At 38.2% G+C, this 21,004-nt stretch overlaps 1 protein-coding gene across 6 annotated transcripts in view; it reads left to right on the forward strand.

The window, feature by feature from the left end:
* MEGF10 (multiple EGF like domains 10) overlaps window positions 1-21,004 on the forward strand; it is a 231,923-nt gene that overhangs the window by 80,085 nt on the left and 130,834 nt on the right. The window lies entirely within an intron of this gene.

Consider the following 21,004-nt stretch of genomic DNA (forward strand, 5'->3'; position numbering starts at 1 on the left):
TCCAGAACTTTTTCATGATCCCAAATTGAAACTCTGTACCCATTAAATAGCAGCTCCCCATTTTCCTCTTACTCCAGCCCTTGGCAACCACCATTCTACTTTCTGTCTTTATGAATTTGACTACTCTATGTACTTCATATAAATGGAATCAGACAGTATTTATTCTTTTGTAACTGGCTGATTTTACTTAGAAATAATGTCCTCAAAGTCCAGCCAAGTTGTAGCATGTGCCAGTTTCATTGCTTTTTGAGGCTAAATAATATTCAGTTGTAGTATATACCACATTGTGTTTATCCATTCATTCATTAATGGACATATGTGTCATTTCCACCTTTTGAGTATTGTGAATAGTGCTGCTGTGAACATTGGTGTACAAATATCTGTTCAATTCCCTGCTTTCAATTCTTTTTTGGGTATATATACCCAGAAGGGGAATTGCTGCAACATATGGTAATTCCATGTTTTTTGAGGAATCACCATACTGTTTTTCTACAGTGGCTGCTCCATTTTACATTTCCGTCAGCAATGCACAAGAGTTCCAATTTTTCCACATCCTTGCCAACTCTTTCTTTCTTTCTTTCTTTCTTTCTTTCTTTCTTTCTTTCTTTCTTTCCTTCCTTCCTTCCTTTCTTTTTTTCTTTCTTTCTTTCCTTCTTTCTTTATTTCTTTCTTTCTTTCTTTCTCTCTTTCTTTCTTTCTTTGTTTCGGAGGGGGTGATAATAGCAATCCTAATCAGTGTGAAGTTATCGCATTGTGGTTTGATTTACATTTCCCTAATGATTAGTGATACGGCCTTTTTTAAATGTGCATATTGGCCATTGGTATATCTTCTTTTAAAAAATGTCTATGCAAGTTATTTGCCCATATTTTAATTAGGTTGTCTGTTTTGTTACTGCTATGTTGTAGGAGTTCTTTTTATATTGTTGATATTGATCCTTTATCATGTATTACAAATATTTTCTCTCATTCTGTGGGTTGTGTTTTCACTCTGTTGATAGTGTCCTTTGTTGCAAAAATTTTTAAATTGTGATGAAGTTCAGTTTATCTGTTTTCTCTTTTATTGCTTGTGCTTTTAGTATCATATCCAAGAATCATTGCCAATTGCTTTTAGATTTTTTTTAAGGATAGCCCCTTTCTCTGTAATACCACAAAAACCATTACTTGTAGAAATTTCTCTTTGAAGGGATTTTGCTCTGAGATGTCTCTTTTTTACTTGTTTGGAGAGTGGCCTTTTTATTACTTGGGAATTGGTTGATTCCACTTTCACCATGCTCTATCATTCTCTTCTCTTCTTCTCAGGGAGATCACAAAGGCTCATTTATGGATAAAAAGAAAAGAGGGAGTGAGGGAAAGGCTTAGTTTGAAAATAGCCTCAATCATTTGTAGTATAGGGGCTAAGGAGAGAAAGGGCAGGTTTCAGAATGTCTGGGGCATATGAGTGGGTTCTTTAGCAATCAAGACTTGCAAGGAGTCTGTGACACCAAACTGGACTGCCATTTGTCTAAGAAGGCTGAGATCTACTTCCTAAAGCACCCTCCTTTTGTCCTCAGGCTGGAAAGATTGCTGAAAAGTGAGCAGGCCCCTAGCTGAACCTCTAAGGAACCTCAGTCCCCCTCCCAAAGACATAATATTCCATGCCTGAAACTTCTCCAAGTATATAGACAGTGACTTTTTATAAATGTTCATTCCCTTTTAGAAAACACAATATATTCCTCTTATTTCTATTAAGTGTTGGTAAAATGCTTCTAATTGAAAATCCTTTTCCTCCCTGCCAGTTTCTCATACTTTACTCACTATTATTTCTGGATTATATTCTGTGTACAAAAATCACCATTTAATAGTGACTACACATCCAAACACTACAGATATTGCTTAGTATAAAAAAGCAACTGGGGAGTACATCATAAATTCATACAATCTCATCTTGAAGAGCAAACTAAATACAGAGACAGCCTGAAGGACATTCTTCTTTACACTTGGCAGTTCCAGAAGAATATATTTAAATGTTATGTAAGTTTTAGTCTTTTCTCATTACTTATGTCACAGCTGTGGACTTCTGAGCCATAGGGCTGCTGTTTACTTTAGACAGACAGTTTTGAGTTAGGTGAGTATTTGAGTATTTTCCTACCCAGCATGTGTTCAGATGTGAGGTGTTTGCTTTTATGCTTGTACGTCTGGTATGAAAAATGGTTTTGTGTGCCAATAATTGTCCCTGTGCTGCTGCCTGCACAGTAACTTGACTCAGGAATACAGAGAACTGTGTCTGGAATTTGCAGTTTTAAGAAGTTGAATGATGACATACTTCATAAAGAGAACTCTTTTCAAATGAACTGTAGTTTAATTAGTAGATCCCTCACTCGCCTATGTATAGGCTTGAAGAAGTCGGAGAATAGTTTTACTGATGTCAAGGAAGGCTGGCAGTAAGTTTCTCTAATATGCATGTTACAGAATGCAACGTTAAATTCCTGAAATCTCGTTTGGTGATGGTCTTCAAAAAGAATCATTTTTATTCACAGGGCCTCAATCATCTGAGGGACTAGATATCCAGAGAAGCCAGCTTCTCAGTGTTGCGTGCACTTTAAAAAGTCATAATTACCGCAGGAGCTAGGAAATGCTTTAAATCAGCAGCATCCCATCACAACTCCTAATTTTAATGTGTGCAAGTAGGCATCCTAACAAAACCACAGCTCAGCCCCCACCTCGTCTCGCCTTGCTCCTTCCTCTCTCACTGTGCCTCCTTTTCATGGTCTCCAGGGAAGCATGGTCAGTTTTGAAGGAGGGAGAGAAGGCAAAGAGGGATGGAAGTCAGAGCAAGCAGCCCAGGTCCCACTTCTATCTTAACTGGCACCAGGAAAAAGTGCCTTCGGCTGGCACAGTGGCTTGTGGGCACCAGGCTTTGCTTGTTTGCCATATAAATCCTGGTCATAACAGAGACCAATGCCATTCAGGCAGTGAGCAGGAAGCTGCTTTTATGGGGAGCTTTTTGGCACCGTGTCCGACATACACTCCAGTCAATCACAGTAAAGGGCCTAATAACAGATGTGGTGATTAAGCCTGAAGAACTGTCTCTATTTTTTCATTTTTGTTTCAGAGAATAACAAAGTGCTTCATTAAACCCCCAATCGCACAGAGTTTTGAATTGGGCATACTGATGTGGTAAAAACTTACATCTCTGTAAGGACTTTCTTCTGAAGTTCTTATCAGCAAGGATGCCTCAGAGGGAAGGTTGGATCCTTTTAGCCAGGACAGTTATGTTCTTTCTGGGTTGTGCTTTGCACTCCAATACCAAACCATATGCAGAATCCTGGGGTACAACCAGTTTCCTATAAGTACCTTGGATATAAATAAACAGTTTTAGCTTTTGTGTGCTTTTGTAAATGTAAAATGTTCTCTGACTCTCTTAGGTTCAATTTTACTGCTTATAGCAAGAAATTAACTATAGCTTTCAATCTTAGAAAGGTTTCAGATAACCTGAAACCATGGTAAATTACCATATTTTAATAAGATAAATTATCTTGAAAAAAATTTAATTACATCTGAAAAGGTCTGTCTTTGATTGTGGCAGTTTCTAAGGCAAATGTCTTCATTAAGGTTGTTTTTCTTTCTTTTTAAATGATGAACATGAATCTGGCTCATCATTAAAGGAAATTAATCTAAGAATTTAATGACTTGGGACAGGTAGAAAAAGTATACGTTCTCAACAGCAAGAACACACAGCTGAAAACTTTCTCTTTAGCTCTTCCTGGATTGTGAAGGCTGGTTCTCTGTGACCCTGGGGCTCTTGGGAAAGGATGGCTGTCTTTCTGACACGGCTCTATGGGATCGTGTAGATTTGGAAGCCACATCTATATCCCAGAGATAATTTTTTTGTTTGTTTCTAATTCCATGTAGCCATAGATCCACTTTGTAAGATTATTGCTTTATTATCTTTCTCCAAATGCATACTTCTGAGTTTTCAGGGTACCTCCAAGAGAATTTGTAGTTGACTAGATTCTCTTAACCTGACCCATAAAGCATATGATTTATGGAGAAGAATCAAGATTTAATTATAATTTCAATTCTTGTGTTAATAAAGCATAAACTTAACCTACTCATCCGATTAGCCTAAAATGTAATTTGTGTGTATTTAACATTTGTACACACTTATATGCACGGACACATATAAAAACAGTACTAACCTTTATGGCACTTCATATTTGTTTTCTCGTCTGAAACAATATTTACAATTCACTTTTTACTACCTTTATCCATTTAGACAACCTTTTCCTCCATTGATGTTAAACATGTTTCTTGCTAAATGTAAAATCAGCAATGTACAGACTCAGATTTTGCCACATTAAAATTTGTTTTAAGAAACCACCCCTATATACACCTTGTATCTAAAAGTGAGAACTCCCAGATACATTGGGGAAGACTTGTGGTCAGGCAGACACCTCCCTCAGGATTATTCAATTGCTGAAAAAGTAAAGCTTTTCTTTAAATAAGATTCAGAATAACTTCCTTATAGTTTTTCCTAAGAAGGGCAAGACTTTCTGGGATGATACACCTCATGTTTTACTTTCGGTTCCATTGCTGGTGGGGAGATATTTCTGTAGGTTCGGGGAGATGCCTTGAAGATGAAGTGGAAAGTTGGCCAACCAAGGGCGGCCCTGAGCTGAAGCGCCACCTCCTGGCGGAATAGGTCACTTCAGGGATTGTTTCTCAGTTACCCAGGCTGCCTGCTGAGGCATCTGTTCTCCCCAGTTATGGATCCCACTCTGTTATTTCTCTCCCACCTCACCCCTCTGGATCGGTTGTCTGGGACTCACAGGATATGATCTCTTGACTCTCCTCAAGTGCTCAATATACTTTAATGTTTCATGACTTTATAGATCCTGGTATTGTTCTTACTTAGCAACCGTATATTGATCATCTATATATTCTTGCAGATGGGGAGAGAAGTAGAAGTCAGGGAGGAGTAGAATAGGAGACAAGACAAAACCATGGGCTCTGCTTTCAAGGACCCAACAGTCTAGTTGAAGAGGTGGGATTGGTTATGTCAAAAGATGACCAGCAGCCCAAGGCAATGGAGAAATATCAGATGAAGGATGTGGAGAGTTGGTTCCGTTAGAGATTTCTATGCAGTTTCTAGTGAAAAGACTAGAGAATTTTTACTTATGTCCTGAACACACTGTTAAGTAGATCTTGGATGAGAAAATAAATTATTGCAAAGAGAGAAGTAAGTTGACAGAAAGCTTATGTAATGGTTTGAATTTCAAACAATTAGGGAGGCTTACATGTTGGACTAAGGGAATTTTAGGAATGAATCATAGGCTCTTTCAAATTAGCGGGATATGAAAAATATATTCCAGGCAGGAACTATTTCTACCCTTCATAGATTCTTCAATTGAGATATTCTTCATGTATGGTTTACATTCATTAGATTTTATTTTCCTGTTTAAGTTAAATGATTAGGAAGTTTAAAATCTTGAACAAATGACAGTAATATAGTTTATGGAAACTGTATTTATAAGAAGGAAATGAATGTATTCATTGTGATGGGGTGCACTTAATTTTAAGTGCTTTTGGCTGCTGTTGTTTCCAATATTTGCAGTAAAATGAAGATACTGCTATTAAAGACTTTGAATCTTAAAAAAAAGGAGCTGAGGGAGAGAATTTATAATAAAGGCAACAGGGAAATGACATTTGATGAGGACAAGAACAGAAGAGATTAAGGAAAATGTCAGAGATTGCAAAGCTTGTGGCCCTGCTGAGTTCAGAACTCAGTGTTAGTTCAAAAACCTTTAGCTTCCTTAGTTCAAATTGCCCTTAAAGAGTTATCAGAACCTGCTTAAAATTAAAGGTTTTTTCCCCATAAAAACTGTAATTATCTTGATATTAATGTTCCAGTTTATTTATGTATTTATTTTTAACATTATACTTGGTGTGCATTTATGCCCACCTGTGCATAAAGGAAATTCTTGCCTTATTTAGGTAATATACAAACACTTATGTACATTTGGGGTCCATTAATATATTTTAAAATTTATAATCACAATGTGACCTTCATCAAAGACCATCACAGATCTTAATTCCTTCTCAAAATTAAAACTTAAAAATATATGAATCTTGCCGGGCGTGGTGGCCCATGGCTGTAATCCCAGAACTTTTGGAGGCTGATAGAGGTGAATTGCTTGAGCCCAGGAGTTCAAGACCAGCATGGGCAATATGATGAGACCCGTCTCTACAAAAATACAAAAATTAGCCAGGTGTGTTGGAATGCATGTGTAGTCCCAGCTACTCAGGAGGCTGAGGTGAGAGGATCCATTCAGTTTGGGAGGTTGAGGCAGCAGTGAGCTGTGATTGTGTCACTGCACTCCAGCCTGGGTGACAGAGTGAGACCCTGTCTTAAAAAAACAAACCAAAACAAAATAACCCTTTTTCTTTCTGTCTATATTTCAAGCATATATTTTGAATCACTTTGTAATAAAAATCTTTTTATTTTCTAAAGTGTGCTAATCTAACACTCTAAGAACATGTTGAAGCAGAGCAGTCTTTCAGTTGCTGTAGACCGTAGCAATCTGCTAATTACTGAAGGTTCATCCTAGGGTATATTCCCACACATTGTTCTTTCTGGTGAAGTTTGCTGAAATGGGTCCCTGTACCAGGCCCACAGGCAGGCCCCAGGAATTGTGCTTTTTATCAATGGAGATGCAACACTTCAGAAGACGCTTTAGTGCAACAAAAGTCTGCCATATAAGTTTGGTGCCATTGCACCTTTGCTCTGCCTCCTTATCTTGCTTTATTACTTCCTGCTGGCTTCTGCTGCTTGACTCCCAGCCCCTCCTGGATGCTCCCTTGCTGCTGTCAAATGTTTGCTCATAGTCACCTCACCTTGCCCTCAGCTGATATGAATACCATGCCTGCAAGAATCATCACCAATGCAGCCATGTTTGAGCAGGTCCAATTATTGACAATACAGGAAGGCTAATGAGTAGAAAGCCTTAAGCTTTAAATGAATTTACAGAATGATTAACTATTAATTAAGCCATTGAAAGTGCCCATACGTTCTTTTCAGAGACTACATATTTTTTATCTCTAATTAAAACAAATATCCCCCAAACAAAACTTTCAGTGTTTTTTCATATTTGTAATCACTGGTATTGCAATCATTTTGTTTCAACTCTAGGATTTTCCACTGCAGTTGTATATTAGCAATTAAATGATAATCTTGACCTTCCATTTCTGCCTTTTAAATATTAAGAATAATGATTTCAGGGTTCCAGAACAAGTGATTTGCATATTCTGAGCTTTATTTTTCCTGTGGGCCATACATTCATTCAAGAATACCAAGAACATGTAGAGATGAACAGTGTACCATTCTGACATTAAGGAGTCTGGTAGCTAGTGGAGAGATGAGCGGTGTGGTGTGTGTTACTACTCTGACGAAGAACACATCAGCTACTCTTGGGATGTTTCAGGGTGTTACAGGAGCAAAGAAGAAGAATGACAAGGTTAGCCAGGGAGCTCTTCTAAAAGAAAGTGACAGTTGATCCTTAAAGAATGAGTGAGAATTAAGTTGAGCAGATAGTTAAGGGCATTCCAAGAAGGAACAGCATGGGCGAAGACAGAGGAGTGAAAACCTCTAATGTTTGGGGAAAATCAAGTACCTGAGAATTGTTCAAGCGACATATACATGAGTTTGTTGAGTGATGAGGCTGGACTCAGATATCTTGAGTCTTAAATGCCAGTTTGAATTTTACCTAAAAGGCAAGCTCTCAAAAGCTTTTAAGAAGGGGAGTGTGGGGTTGTTTGTTTTTTTCTTGTAAATTTGTTAAAGTTCTTTGTAGATTCTGGATATTAGCCCTTTGTCAGATGGGTAGATTGCAAAAATTTTCTCCCATTCTGCGTGTCCGCTCTGATGGTAGTTTCTTTTGCTGTGCAGAAGCTCTTTAGTTTAATTAGATCCCATTTGTCAATTTTGGCTTTTGTTGCCATTGCTTTTGGTGTTTTAGTCATGAAGTCTGTGCCCATGCCTATGTCCTGAATGGCATTGCCTAGGTTTTCTTCTAGGGTTTTTATGGTTTTAGGTCTAACATTTAATCCATCTTGAATTAATTTTTTTATAAGGTGTAAGGAAGGGATCCAGTTTCAGCTTTCTACATAGAAAATGTGGCACGTACACACCACGGAATACTATGCAGCCATAAAAAAGGATGAGTTCATGTGCTTTGCAGGGACATGGATGAAGCTGGAAACCATCATTCTGAGCAAACTATCACAAGGACAGAAAACCAAACACCCCGTGTTCTCACTCATAGGTGGGAATTGAACAATGAGAACACTTGGACACAGGGTGGGGAGCATCACACACCAGGGCCTGTCATGTGTCCCCTGTCATGGGGGAGGGATAGCATTAGGAGAAATACCTAATATAAATGATGAGTTAATGGGTGCAGCAAACCAACATGGTACATGTATACATATGTAACAAACTTGCATGTTGTGCACATGTACCCCCTAGAACTTAAAGTGTAATAAAAAAAAAGTGAGGGGGGAGTGTGATGTTCTGACTTGTGTTTTTAAAGCATTGGTGACAGTGTGGAGGAGGAATTGAGTTGATTGGTAAAAAGGATGAACTGATCAAACTGAAAAACTAGTCAAAGTTAGTGTTTCTTGACATTGGTTTTGAAACTTTGCTCTCAGTAATGGGATCAGTAAATATGATTAGTGCCCTTATAAAAGAGACCTCAGAGTGCTGCCTTGCGCCTTGCACCATGTGAGAACACAAGGAGAAGGTACCATCTATGAATCAGGAAGCAGCCCCTCCCCAGACACTGAATCTGCCAGCGCCTTGATTCTGGACTTCCAGCCTCCAGAACTGTGAGAAATAAATTTCTGCTGTTTTTAAGGCACCCGGTTTATGGCACTAGGTTGTAGCAGCCTGACCTAACACACCCATTGTATCTTTACAGTAAAAAGTCAAACTGAGGGATAAAAACTTGATGATGTTTTCAGGAATATCCAACCAAAAAAGTGGCCATTTCCTCATCCCTGATAGAAGTTTTTGCTAAGATAAAAAATGATAAACAGTTTTAAATCATGGGAACATACCAAGTAGCCATGGTTGGCATCACTGGCTAAAAATGCATCTACAAGAACTTTGAAAAGCAGATGAAGTAGCCAGATGATATGCTTTAAAAACTTGTAAAATCATCCTAGAATATACAAAGCTTAAAAATGCATGAAGTAAGAGATGAGAACTCTCCAACAATCTTGCCATTGAAAAATTGACTTAAACATAAAAAAAATAGGTTAATGAAAAACACTGCCAATAAGCAGATCAAACGTAATTGGCTGAGAATGAGGGGAGGAAAAACTAAAATGCTGGTAAGCCTATAAAAGTTGTAAAACTATGTATGCCCAATTGCAAACAAACAAACAAACTCAAACTCCTTTCCCAGAACTTTTAAAAAATAACAGAAGAGAATATTTTTACGGTACATAAGCAATGCACAATTGCCTAATGGTATATAAAAATTGCTAATTCCTGAAAAACCTGTGACTTGAAATATACATTTTTCAATAAACTTTTATTTGTCAAACTCACCAATTCTAAATCTTGTTCCAAACCCTTTTCTTTCCTTCTCTCTTTCATTACCTCCCTCCCTCCCTCCCTCCCTTCCTCCCTCCCTCCCTTCCTCCATCCCTTCCTTTCTCTCTTCCTTTCTTGATAGAGTCTGGCTCTGTTGCCCAGGCTGGAGTGCAGTGGTATGATCTCGGCTCACTGCAACCCCTGCTTCCCGGGTTCAAGTGATTCTCCTGCTTCAGCCTCCCAAATAGCTGGGATTACAGGCATCTGCCACCATGCCTGGCTAATTTTTGTATTTTTAGTAGAGACAGGGTTTTACCATGTTGGCCAGTCTGGTCTTGAACTCTTGACCTCAAGTGATCCACCTACCTCGGCCTCCCAAGGTATTAGGATTACAGGCATGAGCCACTGTGCCTGGCCTTGCTTTTCTTCTTTAAACTAGTTTTTCTTTTCTTAAAATATTTGTTCAGATTTACATAGTGGACTCGTCTCTATGTCTTTGTTTAGATTCATTCATTCATTTGCTGTGCTGGGTGCTGTTTTAGGTACTGAGGATACTGCAGAGAAAAAAGAAGGCATCATTGCACTGAGGAAATTAGGAGATGTCAGTTTACCTTCCATCAGCTCTTTCACATGGCCATTGGCAAAACTTCTACCATGCTTGTATCTAATCTGCTCCTTTGATGCATAGATTGAGTAGACATAATTCACTGCGAGCTCTTCCTCCTGGGAATGAAAAGGAGCACTCACAAGTTGCCTTATTAAAGTCTTTGGCTAACTAATCAATTTTTTACTGTTAAACTTTTATAAGCACCCTAGGGCCAATTATCTCTATATTTGTACCCTATTAACAGTGGCATCAGCCACAGAAAGAAAGTAATTGCATCTTTATTATCTTTGCGTATAGCAATTCGTATTATTGGGCAAGACAGACTGACAGGATCTTGAATTTTGGCTTAATAGTGGCCTAAGGAGAAGCCATTTAGAAAATAGCTTTGTGACCTTGGGCATACTTTTAATATCTCCAGACCACAGCATCATCATCTGTAAAATTAGAGTGTTGGACCAGCTTTCTGCTAAAGGCTATGTTCACACAAAAGTCGATGAATCTTAGGCATTCTGGAGGTTTATAAGAAAAGCAAAGAGAAAATATCACTCTCATTATAAGTTTGCTTGCCATGAAAGCTGCTTTCCTGACTGATGTTTCTGAAAAGGAAATAAAACAGAGAGGGAGCCAGTAACCTGTGAGTGATCAGTTTGATGCTGCATCAGACTAGAATTTACCCCTGTCATTGTCTCCACCTGCCCCCATGGCATCAGGTCCTGAATTTCACTAAAAATGGCAGGGAAGGACAAACCAGGAGACACAGGGAAATTAGAAGAGATAATTATGGATGATGTGAATGAAGGAAGTAATATGGAAAATGACACTCGATTTCCTAACAATATGAGATTGTTCTCCAACCATTAGGGTCAGACAGGGTCATTTCTTGAGTGAAAGATCAGTCTAGATACCACAGGAAGTGGTGTTGCTAATTCAGCATGTGGCACTTTATCTACTGAAACAAAGCCCCATTTTAAGAGTCATAAAGATGGGATTTGGGTTGTGGCTTTGTATATTTGCATACATATGCGATTGGCCAGGAAGTGGAAGTGGGAGGTGAGGCTGCCCAAGCATTTTCTCCTGAATGTCCTGACCAAATGCAGCTTTGAATACTGACATTCTTTTACCTACTTATACTTCCTCAGCAGTTTCCTCGCATTTTGCCTCAAATCTTCAAAGCCTTTGACAATGTGGGCTTAAAACCATGAGGATAAATGTGTTCAGATTCTTTTGTGGCAATGCCTGCTGCGAGATACCTGTGGTCACTCTGCTTCCTGGTCTGGGTTAGTGGTTCAGAACTGAGTCCACTGGGAAGAATGGCAGCTGAGTCACAAATGTCACTGATTATTCAAAACATCTGTACAGTGTAAATATGGAAATATCTTTTGTACTTTCCAATTCACATATTCAGTTTTGACCAGGAAGTAGCTTAGTCTCTTAGAGTATCTAACTTTTAGTGAATATGCATTCCAAGAAGCGTTTATTGCTACAATACACAGGTGAAGTGTTATTTTAGAAAGACTGAGACTGTTTTACCTGATGGACAGGTGATTTGACTGTAAGTTAAGAGAACTGAGTTCTGGGTTCTAGTGTTGAGCCACCTACAAATGAGCTCTGTGATCATGGCCAAGTCATCTTAACTTGACCTTCTATTATTTTATCCATAAAATGAAAGGATTTTGATTGGACTCCATGAAGGCCTTCAACTCTAACATTCTGTTCTACTATTTCTTACACAAGAGCTCTTTGGATTCTGGACATATGTATTGCTCTAGAAACTCTTGGGAGCCAAGTAAATGTTTAAAAACTCAAATTTCTGTATCCTGTTAGAGGAATGCTCAGGGTGTGTTTGTGTGTATGTGTGTGTGTATGTGTGTGTGTGCGTGTTCATGCATGTGTGTGCTCATGCTTGCCTTAATGGAATCTGGATAGATTTAGTTGACAGGAAAATTTTCTAAGATTTTGGTTTTACAGAAATTCTTTTCCTCATAAGGTCTTTGTTCCTCTATGGGGTTTTCTTTTGACCTTTGAGGAAAGGAAGGCTTAACTTGGATTGCTCATCTGTGTCCTGATAGTGAGTGCTTCAGTATTTGAAGGTCAGCTTAATGACCCAAAGATAGGAGAGCAGATGACATGTAGGTGCCCGTTGTCATGCCAGTGATGGGGGCAGAATATCTGTTTGCATCCTTCTGACTGTTGCTGCAGACACCACTGAAAAGGATCTTCCCGAGAGAGGGACCTTGCCTGTACTCAGGCTTCCTCTCAGTGTCCCTGTCCTCCCCCTACCATGGGAAGGGAAAGACTGAAGATTCTGATGATGCTCAAGTACCCTGCTACATGTCAGAGAATTATATTTGCTCCTCCTTCTCCTTATTATAATTTGACTTTTCTTTTCTCAAGGAAATTGCCTTCTTTTGTCATTTATTCTGTTATGATTGGATTTTTTCCCCTGCTTGTATCATCAGAGGATTGGTCAAAGTGGAAATCTTTCAGCTTCTTCAATTAGCGCTTTTGCAAAAAAAAAAAAATAATAATGCTTTAGGTTAAAAGAAAAAAAAAAAGCCCTAAGTCTTCTTTTCCTCCTGGGTTGATCATGTTCCATTTTCTGGGTCATTTTTCTCAGATTCCTTCACTGTTGAACTGCCTGAAGTCTCATGAGGTGTTTGGATGTTTCACCTTGAGTAAATCTCAAGCCATAATATTCATTGCCATTCCTGATCTGGCCCTAAACTTCCTTTCCCACTCACTTTCACACTGTGCTTCAAACAATCCTGCCTCTTTGCCTTTCCTCTGAGCACTCACTTTCTCCTGCCTTCGCTCTTACTGATTCCTCTGCCTATACTGCTCCATCTACCCAGCAAAAAGTTTCTTAAAGACCTTTTCTGTGGAGTCTTCAATAATGCTATCTGTTATCCCCATTCACTGGTTGTAAGTGCTTTCTGAATGCCCATACATGTTTTGTAATCCTCCTTTGACCCTAATCACATTTTACATTGCCCAGTCATTACCATCTACGTGGTACTACTCTCACATTAGATTGTTAATTCTTTGAGGGTAAACATGGCCTTCACCAGTGTTTGCTGGTTGAAATAACAAATGTTTGTTCATTGGCAAAGCATTTGAAAAGTGTCCATGTGAAAAATTGTTAAAGTAATCACATGATTACAACAGCTGATGAAATTTGAATTAGGTCTATGGATTAAATTGGTACTATTGCATTAATGTTAAATTTTTTGTGTATCATTGTATGATAATTATACAAGTAAATGTCCTTATTCTTAGGAAATGCACACTGAAGTATTTAGAAGTAAAGGAGCCTAATGTGCACAAATTACCCTTAAATGATTACAAAAAACATATATAATGTGTATATATATATTTACACAATGTGTGTATACACATACAATGTGTGTATATATATATACATACGCACAAACACACACATTGCATATACATATATATGCATATATATATGTATATGCACAGGCATTCTTTGTGGTATTTTTGTAACTTTCAAGTAAATTTGAAATTATTTTAAAATAAAAAGTTTAAAAAATTAAATTGTTATTTATTACTGATCAGGGATAATCATAGAAAAGTAGCCCAAGTGCGGAAAAATAAAAGAAACATTTATTTGTAGATGAAAAAGTAACCCAGTGAACAGTCTGAAATTCATTTATTTAATATTTTATAAGTGACCTACACACAGCACATGATGAACTCTCCAAGTTATGATGAGGCAGGTCAATTCTTCTAGAAAGTCACATGCTAGATGACTATGCCTAAATGGCCAGATAATCTGGGATGGTGCCCTGTGTGGAAGAATAGCAGATGTACCTCAAAGTACAGGCATTGTGAGGTTATGCCCCTTGGCACAAAATAACTCAAACTGTGATTAGAAGATGATGAGCTCTTGCCAGGAGTTACAATGTAGAGAAAAGATTTCAGAATCATTGCAGGTGGTTACTTCTGTATGTTAATGCTACTAAAGATGCCAATGAAATGATGGGCATTATTAGGAGGTATTTTGGAAGTAAAACTAATTTTGGTATGACATACTTAAACATAGGCATATTGGTTATATATTGCTGCTTCACATGAACTCAAAAATTAGTGGCCTAAAGCAACAAAGATTTATTACTCACAGTTTCTGTGGGCTAGGAAGTTGAGAGTAGCTTAGCTGGTGGTTCTAGCTCAGGGTCTCATGAGTTTATAATAAGTATGTTAGCAAGGGCTGCAGTCATCTAAAGGTTTAACAGGGGCTAGAGGATCCACTCCCAAGATGGATCACTCACACAGCTGTTAGCAGGAGGCCTCAGTTCCTTACTGTGTTGGTCTCTCCATATGGCTGCTTGAGCATCCGAATATCATAGCAGCTGGCTTCCTGTGAAATGGTGTTCAAAGAAGTGAGATGGGAATTTCAGTGCCTTCTATGACCTAGTTTGGAAGTTTATCATTTTTGTAATATTCTGTTGGTTATAGAAGCCCACTTATTCATTGTGAGAAGGGCTTACACAGGCAGGGATCATTGGAGGCCATCTTGGAGGCTGGCTACAATAATAGGGTATAATTATGGTTGCTGTAGCAGCGTTGAAAAAAAGAGGAAAAAAAGAGTGAACTTTATAAAAACGCTAAGAGGGCTTTTATTTTGGTGGACAGGCCAGGAAAATTAAGACTCTTAAGGTTGAGAAGAATGAGTAGGGATGTTATTGAAGTGTATCAAATTATGACAAATTTGGAAAAATAAATATGATTTTATTCATCAAAGTTTGGAACAAGAAATAGTGTTTGAAGTTTCTTTCTCTAATAAAAAAGAGATGTAACTTGTTTTCTCAGTAGGAAATAAACAGATTGAACCCAGAATATATAACCAGGGGATTCAGAATGCTTTAAACCCAAAACAGCTCTCCTTGATCTCTACCATAATTTCTATTATTTCTCCCAGTCCTGCTGATTCTTTCTCTCATTGGTTTCTCACATACTTCCGATTCCTAGGCTACCACCCTAGGAAGGTCGTTCCACTTCACACGTGAGTGCAGTAACCTCCACACTCTGTCTTTGCCTCCAAAGGATTTGGTCCCTTGGTTGGTTTTTGCACACCTTCTCTGTTAATCTCCCAAACACCTCTTTCATCAAATAATGCCCTTGCTCAAAGACTTCAAGTAAATTCTACTGCAGAGAGGAAGAATTAAACTGAACCCCTTAGCTTGGTGCTGAAGGCCCTTTATCACCACCAAACACCACCCTCCTTTCTAGCGTTACTTCTCACAATCTGTTATAAAACCTTCTGCTCTCCACCCTCAAGGCTTGGCTCTTATCTTTCTCTTTGCCTTGTGGCCCCTCCTTGAGTTTTTATTTACTCAGAAGCTTCCTTTTATCCAGGTGTGATGCTGAGGGCTGGTCACAGGCATTGTCGCCATCAGCCAGGCCTGTTCGTATATCTGCTCTTACCTGATTGTCTGACTTCCAGGGAGACATTTAATCTCAGTATTCCCTGCATGGGGATAATAGACCTTCTCCTGTGGACTCAGTGAGGTTTCATTGCTAGTGTGAGGTGCCACTCAGTGATTTCTAGTTTCCTTTCTTTTTCAAGTCCCTGCTCAAGTTTGACTTTCTTCATGAGCCTTCATAGCTCTTGTTGGCTTCCTCTCCTCTTAAAACTCTGGCAAGTCATCTCTAAACGGACTCATTTGGCAAATAATCATATTTTGATTATAATTTTTTCCTTAGTAGATTTTAAGCTATTATGGGCAGAGACTGTGCTTTACAAGTCACAGGAGTTGCCATAGTTTCTTGCCCTTAGATCTTTAATGAGTATTGTTTGTAGATTTTTTCCCTCATATGTTGTGGGTGATGGATTCACAGAGACATTGTAGAGGATTTTCCAGAGCTGATGATGAGTGAATTACCAGGGTCTTCCCCAAATTATCCCTTAACACCACCTATATAATGACCGTGGGGTTGGCTGTTTAGGTAGGTAGGGCCACGTCTCTGTTCCCATAGCAGCTTATTCTGGTCTTAATCATGGTGTGCATCATGCTGATTGAATAGGTCAGTTTGTGGCCATTTTCCATGTGGGGCTGTGAGCTCCTTCGGGATAGCTCAGCACTGGACATTGTCAGTGACTTGCCCAGTTTTTGTTTGATGTGAAGTGCCCAAAGAATTAGAACCATTAGTAAACTTCACTTCATGCTAATGTTTAGGGATTTTTTTGTGGAGATGGGGCTTGTTTATAAAACCATTTTAAGTTTATAAACAGATTTGAGAGTATATATATATATATACATATATGTGTGTATATATATATATACATATATGTGTGTGTGTGTATATATATATATATATATATATTTTTTTTTTTTTAAGACAGGGACTTGCTCTGCCACCCAGCTGGAATGCAGTGCCACAATCACAGCTCACTGTAGCCTTGACCTTCGAGGCTCAAGCGATCCTCCTACCTCACCCTATACTCCACCCCTCTCAGTAGCTGGGACTACAGGTGCATGCCACCAAGCCTGGCTAATTTTTTTTTTTAAATAAGGATGTGGTCTTGCTATGTTGCTGAGGCTAGTCGCAAACTCCTGGGCTCAAGTCATCCTCCTACCTCGGCTTCCCAAAGTATTAGGATTATGGGAGTGAGCCACCGCACCTGGCCTTTCTTTTATTAATGCTGGTAGGCACACTCATTTAACTTAAATGAATACTCTGTTCCTGCCATTATGTGATTTAATTTGATTTAGAATATGCTTGTTGTGGGTTTGATGTTAGCAAAATGACATGAAGCCCTCAAAACAAAGTAAATATAGCACTTGTACTGTTTGAAATGAATAGTCATACCTGGATAATATGTTATTAGAATAACTAGCCTTGCTCAGTGAACAGAGAAGTCATGCTAATGCCTTAAGGATTCCTTTCATCAGCAAACTAGTATTTCCATGGAAGTCCTCATCTGAGATTGTTCTCAGGGCAACCAGCAAGCATTACTCATCCTACATCTTTAATGCACTGAAGCTGGACCATTGCTTCTCTGTTCACGGCCTCAAAGCTCCAGGAAGAACTTAGCACACTGCCTCTGCCGGCCTTTCTGAGTAGTTTGAGGAACAGTGAGTACATCCTTTATAGATAACACGATGGAGTGGTCAGGTGAAATGGATGGCTCTTGTTGAAAAGTGGCTATTCTTAATCAATAAATTTGTTTTAATTTAACTTAGAGATATGTGAGAGAATCTTAGCGATATGTGAGTAGCAGAAAATGAGCTTGAGAAAAAACTGGTTGAGGGTACCGAAGTTATTTCTATGTGTGCACTTAATTGATTCTAGGAAGAAAATAGATTTTGGAGCCAAAAGGAATCATCTGGAATAATTTTCCCCTCTGTTGTTTCAAAAATAAATTAGTAAGTCAACACCCCATTATTTATTTCTCTTTAACTCAATGATAAAGAAACTACTGCTTATCATCAGAACTAAGACTCATCCATTGTAAGGATTTTATTCATCCTGATTATTTACTGAGGCTTTTGTGGTAGAATAAGCAAAGCTTGCCTTCCAAGTGGAGCTGCAAAACACAGACAGCAAGGGTTAACTCTGTGGGCTGTTTCCCTTTCTAATAGGAGCACTTTAGCAATGCTAATCAGTTGTACTGATTTTGTTTTGATTTTTCCATAATAATTAAGTGAATGATCTGAAATGCAATCAAGTTTGGCACTAGGGGGTTCATGCAAATGACTCTTTATTTTTTTACATTTTAAATTTTGTTAAACGGAATCATAAGGAAGTTATTTGAAGAGGAAGTCTGAGTGGGTGAGGGTAGCCAACACCCAATTTAGAGATTTGAATATATTCAAAATGTCTATCTTAATGAAGCAAATCACCACTGCATTGCCTTTGTTTTCAATTGAAATAATACTATTTTTAAAAAATTGCATTTTGTTTTCATTTGCATTCCAAAGTGGAAAATTATAAGACAGGATGACACAGCATAGAAGAGAGAAATGAGGAAGAATAAATTTACTGGACTTTCCTTCTTCAGAGTAGGCATAGTGGAAAAAGGGTACTCACTATGTTTACTCACCAAAACCTATAGAAGAAAACAAAGAAGATAGGGAAAAAGTAAATGAATGCCCTATCTGCTGCTTTTTTCTTTTCTTTTCTTTTCTTTTTTTTTTTTTTTTTGAGATAGAGTTTCACTCCTGTTGCCCAGGCTGGAGTGCAATGGCACGATCTTGGCTCATTGCAGCCTCCGCCTCCCAGGTTCAAGCAATTCTTCTGCCTCAGCCTCCCAAGTAGCTGGGATTATAGGCACCTGCCAGCATGCCTGGCTAATTTCTTCTAATTTTTAGTAGAGACAGGGTTTCACCATGTTGGCCAGGGTGGTTTCGAACTCCTGACCTCAGGTGATCCACCCGCCTCTGCCTCCCAAAGTGCTGGGATTACAGGAGTGAGCCACCACGCCTGGCCTAAATGTCCTATCAACTTCTGATTTTGATTGCATCTCAGTGCCTTTATTAAACAAGATAGAATGAAAGGACAATCCATGTTTCCTAATTTAGAGAAATGCTGTGTTTCTTAGTTCTCTACAGCTTATTGGCATATTTGTGAGATGTCTTCTCTCCTCATCGTCTATAACATCTGTGTTATTTTCTCAAACAGTTTTAACCAGCTTATGTGAATTTGCATGATCCTTGCCTCTTGATCAAACAATTCTTTTTGGTTTTTCAGACTATTCTAGAGCTCAGTTAATTTTCTAATTTTAATTAGGAAAACGTATTGGGACAAAGATACCAAGTAATACACACATACATCCACACATATACACACACACACATATTTTTCAATGTACTGATATTTTTTCTTTCAAAAATGGTACCTGCGACTTTTCAATGCAGTTTGATATTTCTGTATACTGAACTTCCAAAGCAATGAGAAGGTGGCCAAATTCTGCTTTTTCTCTGTCATCTCCTCTTCACAGGGCAATGCATCAGATACAAAGCAAGAAGAGAAACCAGAAGATTAGTGTCAATATTTTTACATTAAAATAAAACTCACAACCTCTTTCTTGTTCTGGGACTTTGATTCATGGCTTGGGACAATTTCTAACTTTATAGACTAAACATTTCTAATTGGTAAATGGATGGTTTGAGTCTGAGATGACTCAGGAAATAAACTTTCCAATTTGGGGTAATTGTTTATGAGTAGGTTACTGCTTACCAGCCTTCATGTCTTTGAGGAAAGAATGAAAGCTAAACACATTTCACACTTCGTTGAAGGGAAATACTTCTCACATAGATAAAGCAATGAGACAAGGAAATAATTGCCATGCTCATTTGTTACAGCCAAATATATTAAAGATTTTTTTGATGGATGAGGAAAACACTAGCTGTATATTACACGGCTTCAACTGTAAAACAGGGACAATAAAAACTACTACTTCTTAGTTAAGTTGCTGTAAGGATTACATAGATAATTCACATAAATGGCTCAGTACTGTGTCTGGCACACAGTAATCGGTCAGGAAATGTTATCTGTTATTGTTTATTATTATCATCATCATTTTTTATTCATTCCCCTTAAATGAAATAGCTTCTTTATATAATGTTAAGCTTCAGATTTTACAACTTCATGATGCATGTGAGAAATGTCAATAATTTGAATTAATCTATAAGTTAATTTTGGTTAACTATTTACGCTTTATCTATTGGAATTATTTAGTGACCATTGAAATATCCTTTTTAAGATTTTACAGCTTCTTTAATGGCTTACACAATATCTTTTAATTATACTACAAATTCATGATTTTTTCCTTATTCCAAGTCAAACATTTTCTTTTAGCCTTTGTTGAGTCAGCAATAGGTAACTTGTCATAGTATACTTAAAGAATCTTGATTTTGAAGAATTTAATATTTCCTCATTTGATCTGTCCTGAATTTGAATGATAAACTATTTCCTAAAGTTGTTTGTTTTTTGCTGTTATTGTTGTTTATTTGTTTATTTTAAGATAAATTTGCCTTTTCAAGCCATAAAGTTATTATTCAATACATTTGGTTCCCAAATATTAAAAACTTCTTGGCATGGAAAATGAGTATAACTTCTTAAAATGCCAGCTCCCACCCAGAAAATCACTGCTTTGCTCAAATAATCTGGCTCATTATTACTAGTTTCACTAGTTTACCAACAGGCAGGTTGGCACTTATTTTGTTTGTAATTAAGAAATGGATCAGTGATTTCTAATTTTGTATCCATTTTTATAATGATTAGATGACATAGTATGACAATTAAACTTTTCCTTCTTACTAAATTCCAGAGGCTGCAGGAGTGCCTGTGATTCTCAGGTGCAAACCATTACAGGTGTTACACACCCGGGCCTGGCGCAGGTCCTAGCATATCGTATGTGTTCAATAAATGCTTGTAGGTGGCTTTGCTTGATGATATCAGAGGAACCTTCAACTTGACCTATCTAAACTGAACTGAAAGCTTCCCCTCCCCAGAGGAGGGCTTCTATGAGTCCCATATCAGCGAGGGGCTAACAATCCCCACAAGGGGCTAAACCAGAAGCTCCTCCCCTCCCTTAATCCATGTTCAATAGACAAGTCCTGTCGATTCCGCATCCTAAAAATCTCCCAGAGCCACTCCACTTCCTGCAACCCCATTGCTGCTGCCTTGATCTGCTCACAGTCATGTCTTACCTGGCCTCCCTCCAAGAGCCTCCCCTTGCAGCTAGAGTCATTCTTCTAATGCCACTCTGCACCATTTACTAGCTCCATGTTATCCTTGGATGAAGTTCCCTACTGCACAATGGCTTATGAAACCCATTGCGACTCACCCTCTGTCTC

The sequence above is a fragment of the Homo sapiens genome, chromosome 5, assembly GCF_000001405.40.
Source record: "Homo sapiens chromosome 5, GRCh38.p14 Primary Assembly".
Classification (NCBI taxonomy): Eukaryota; Metazoa; Chordata; class Mammalia; order Primates; family Hominidae; genus Homo; species Homo sapiens.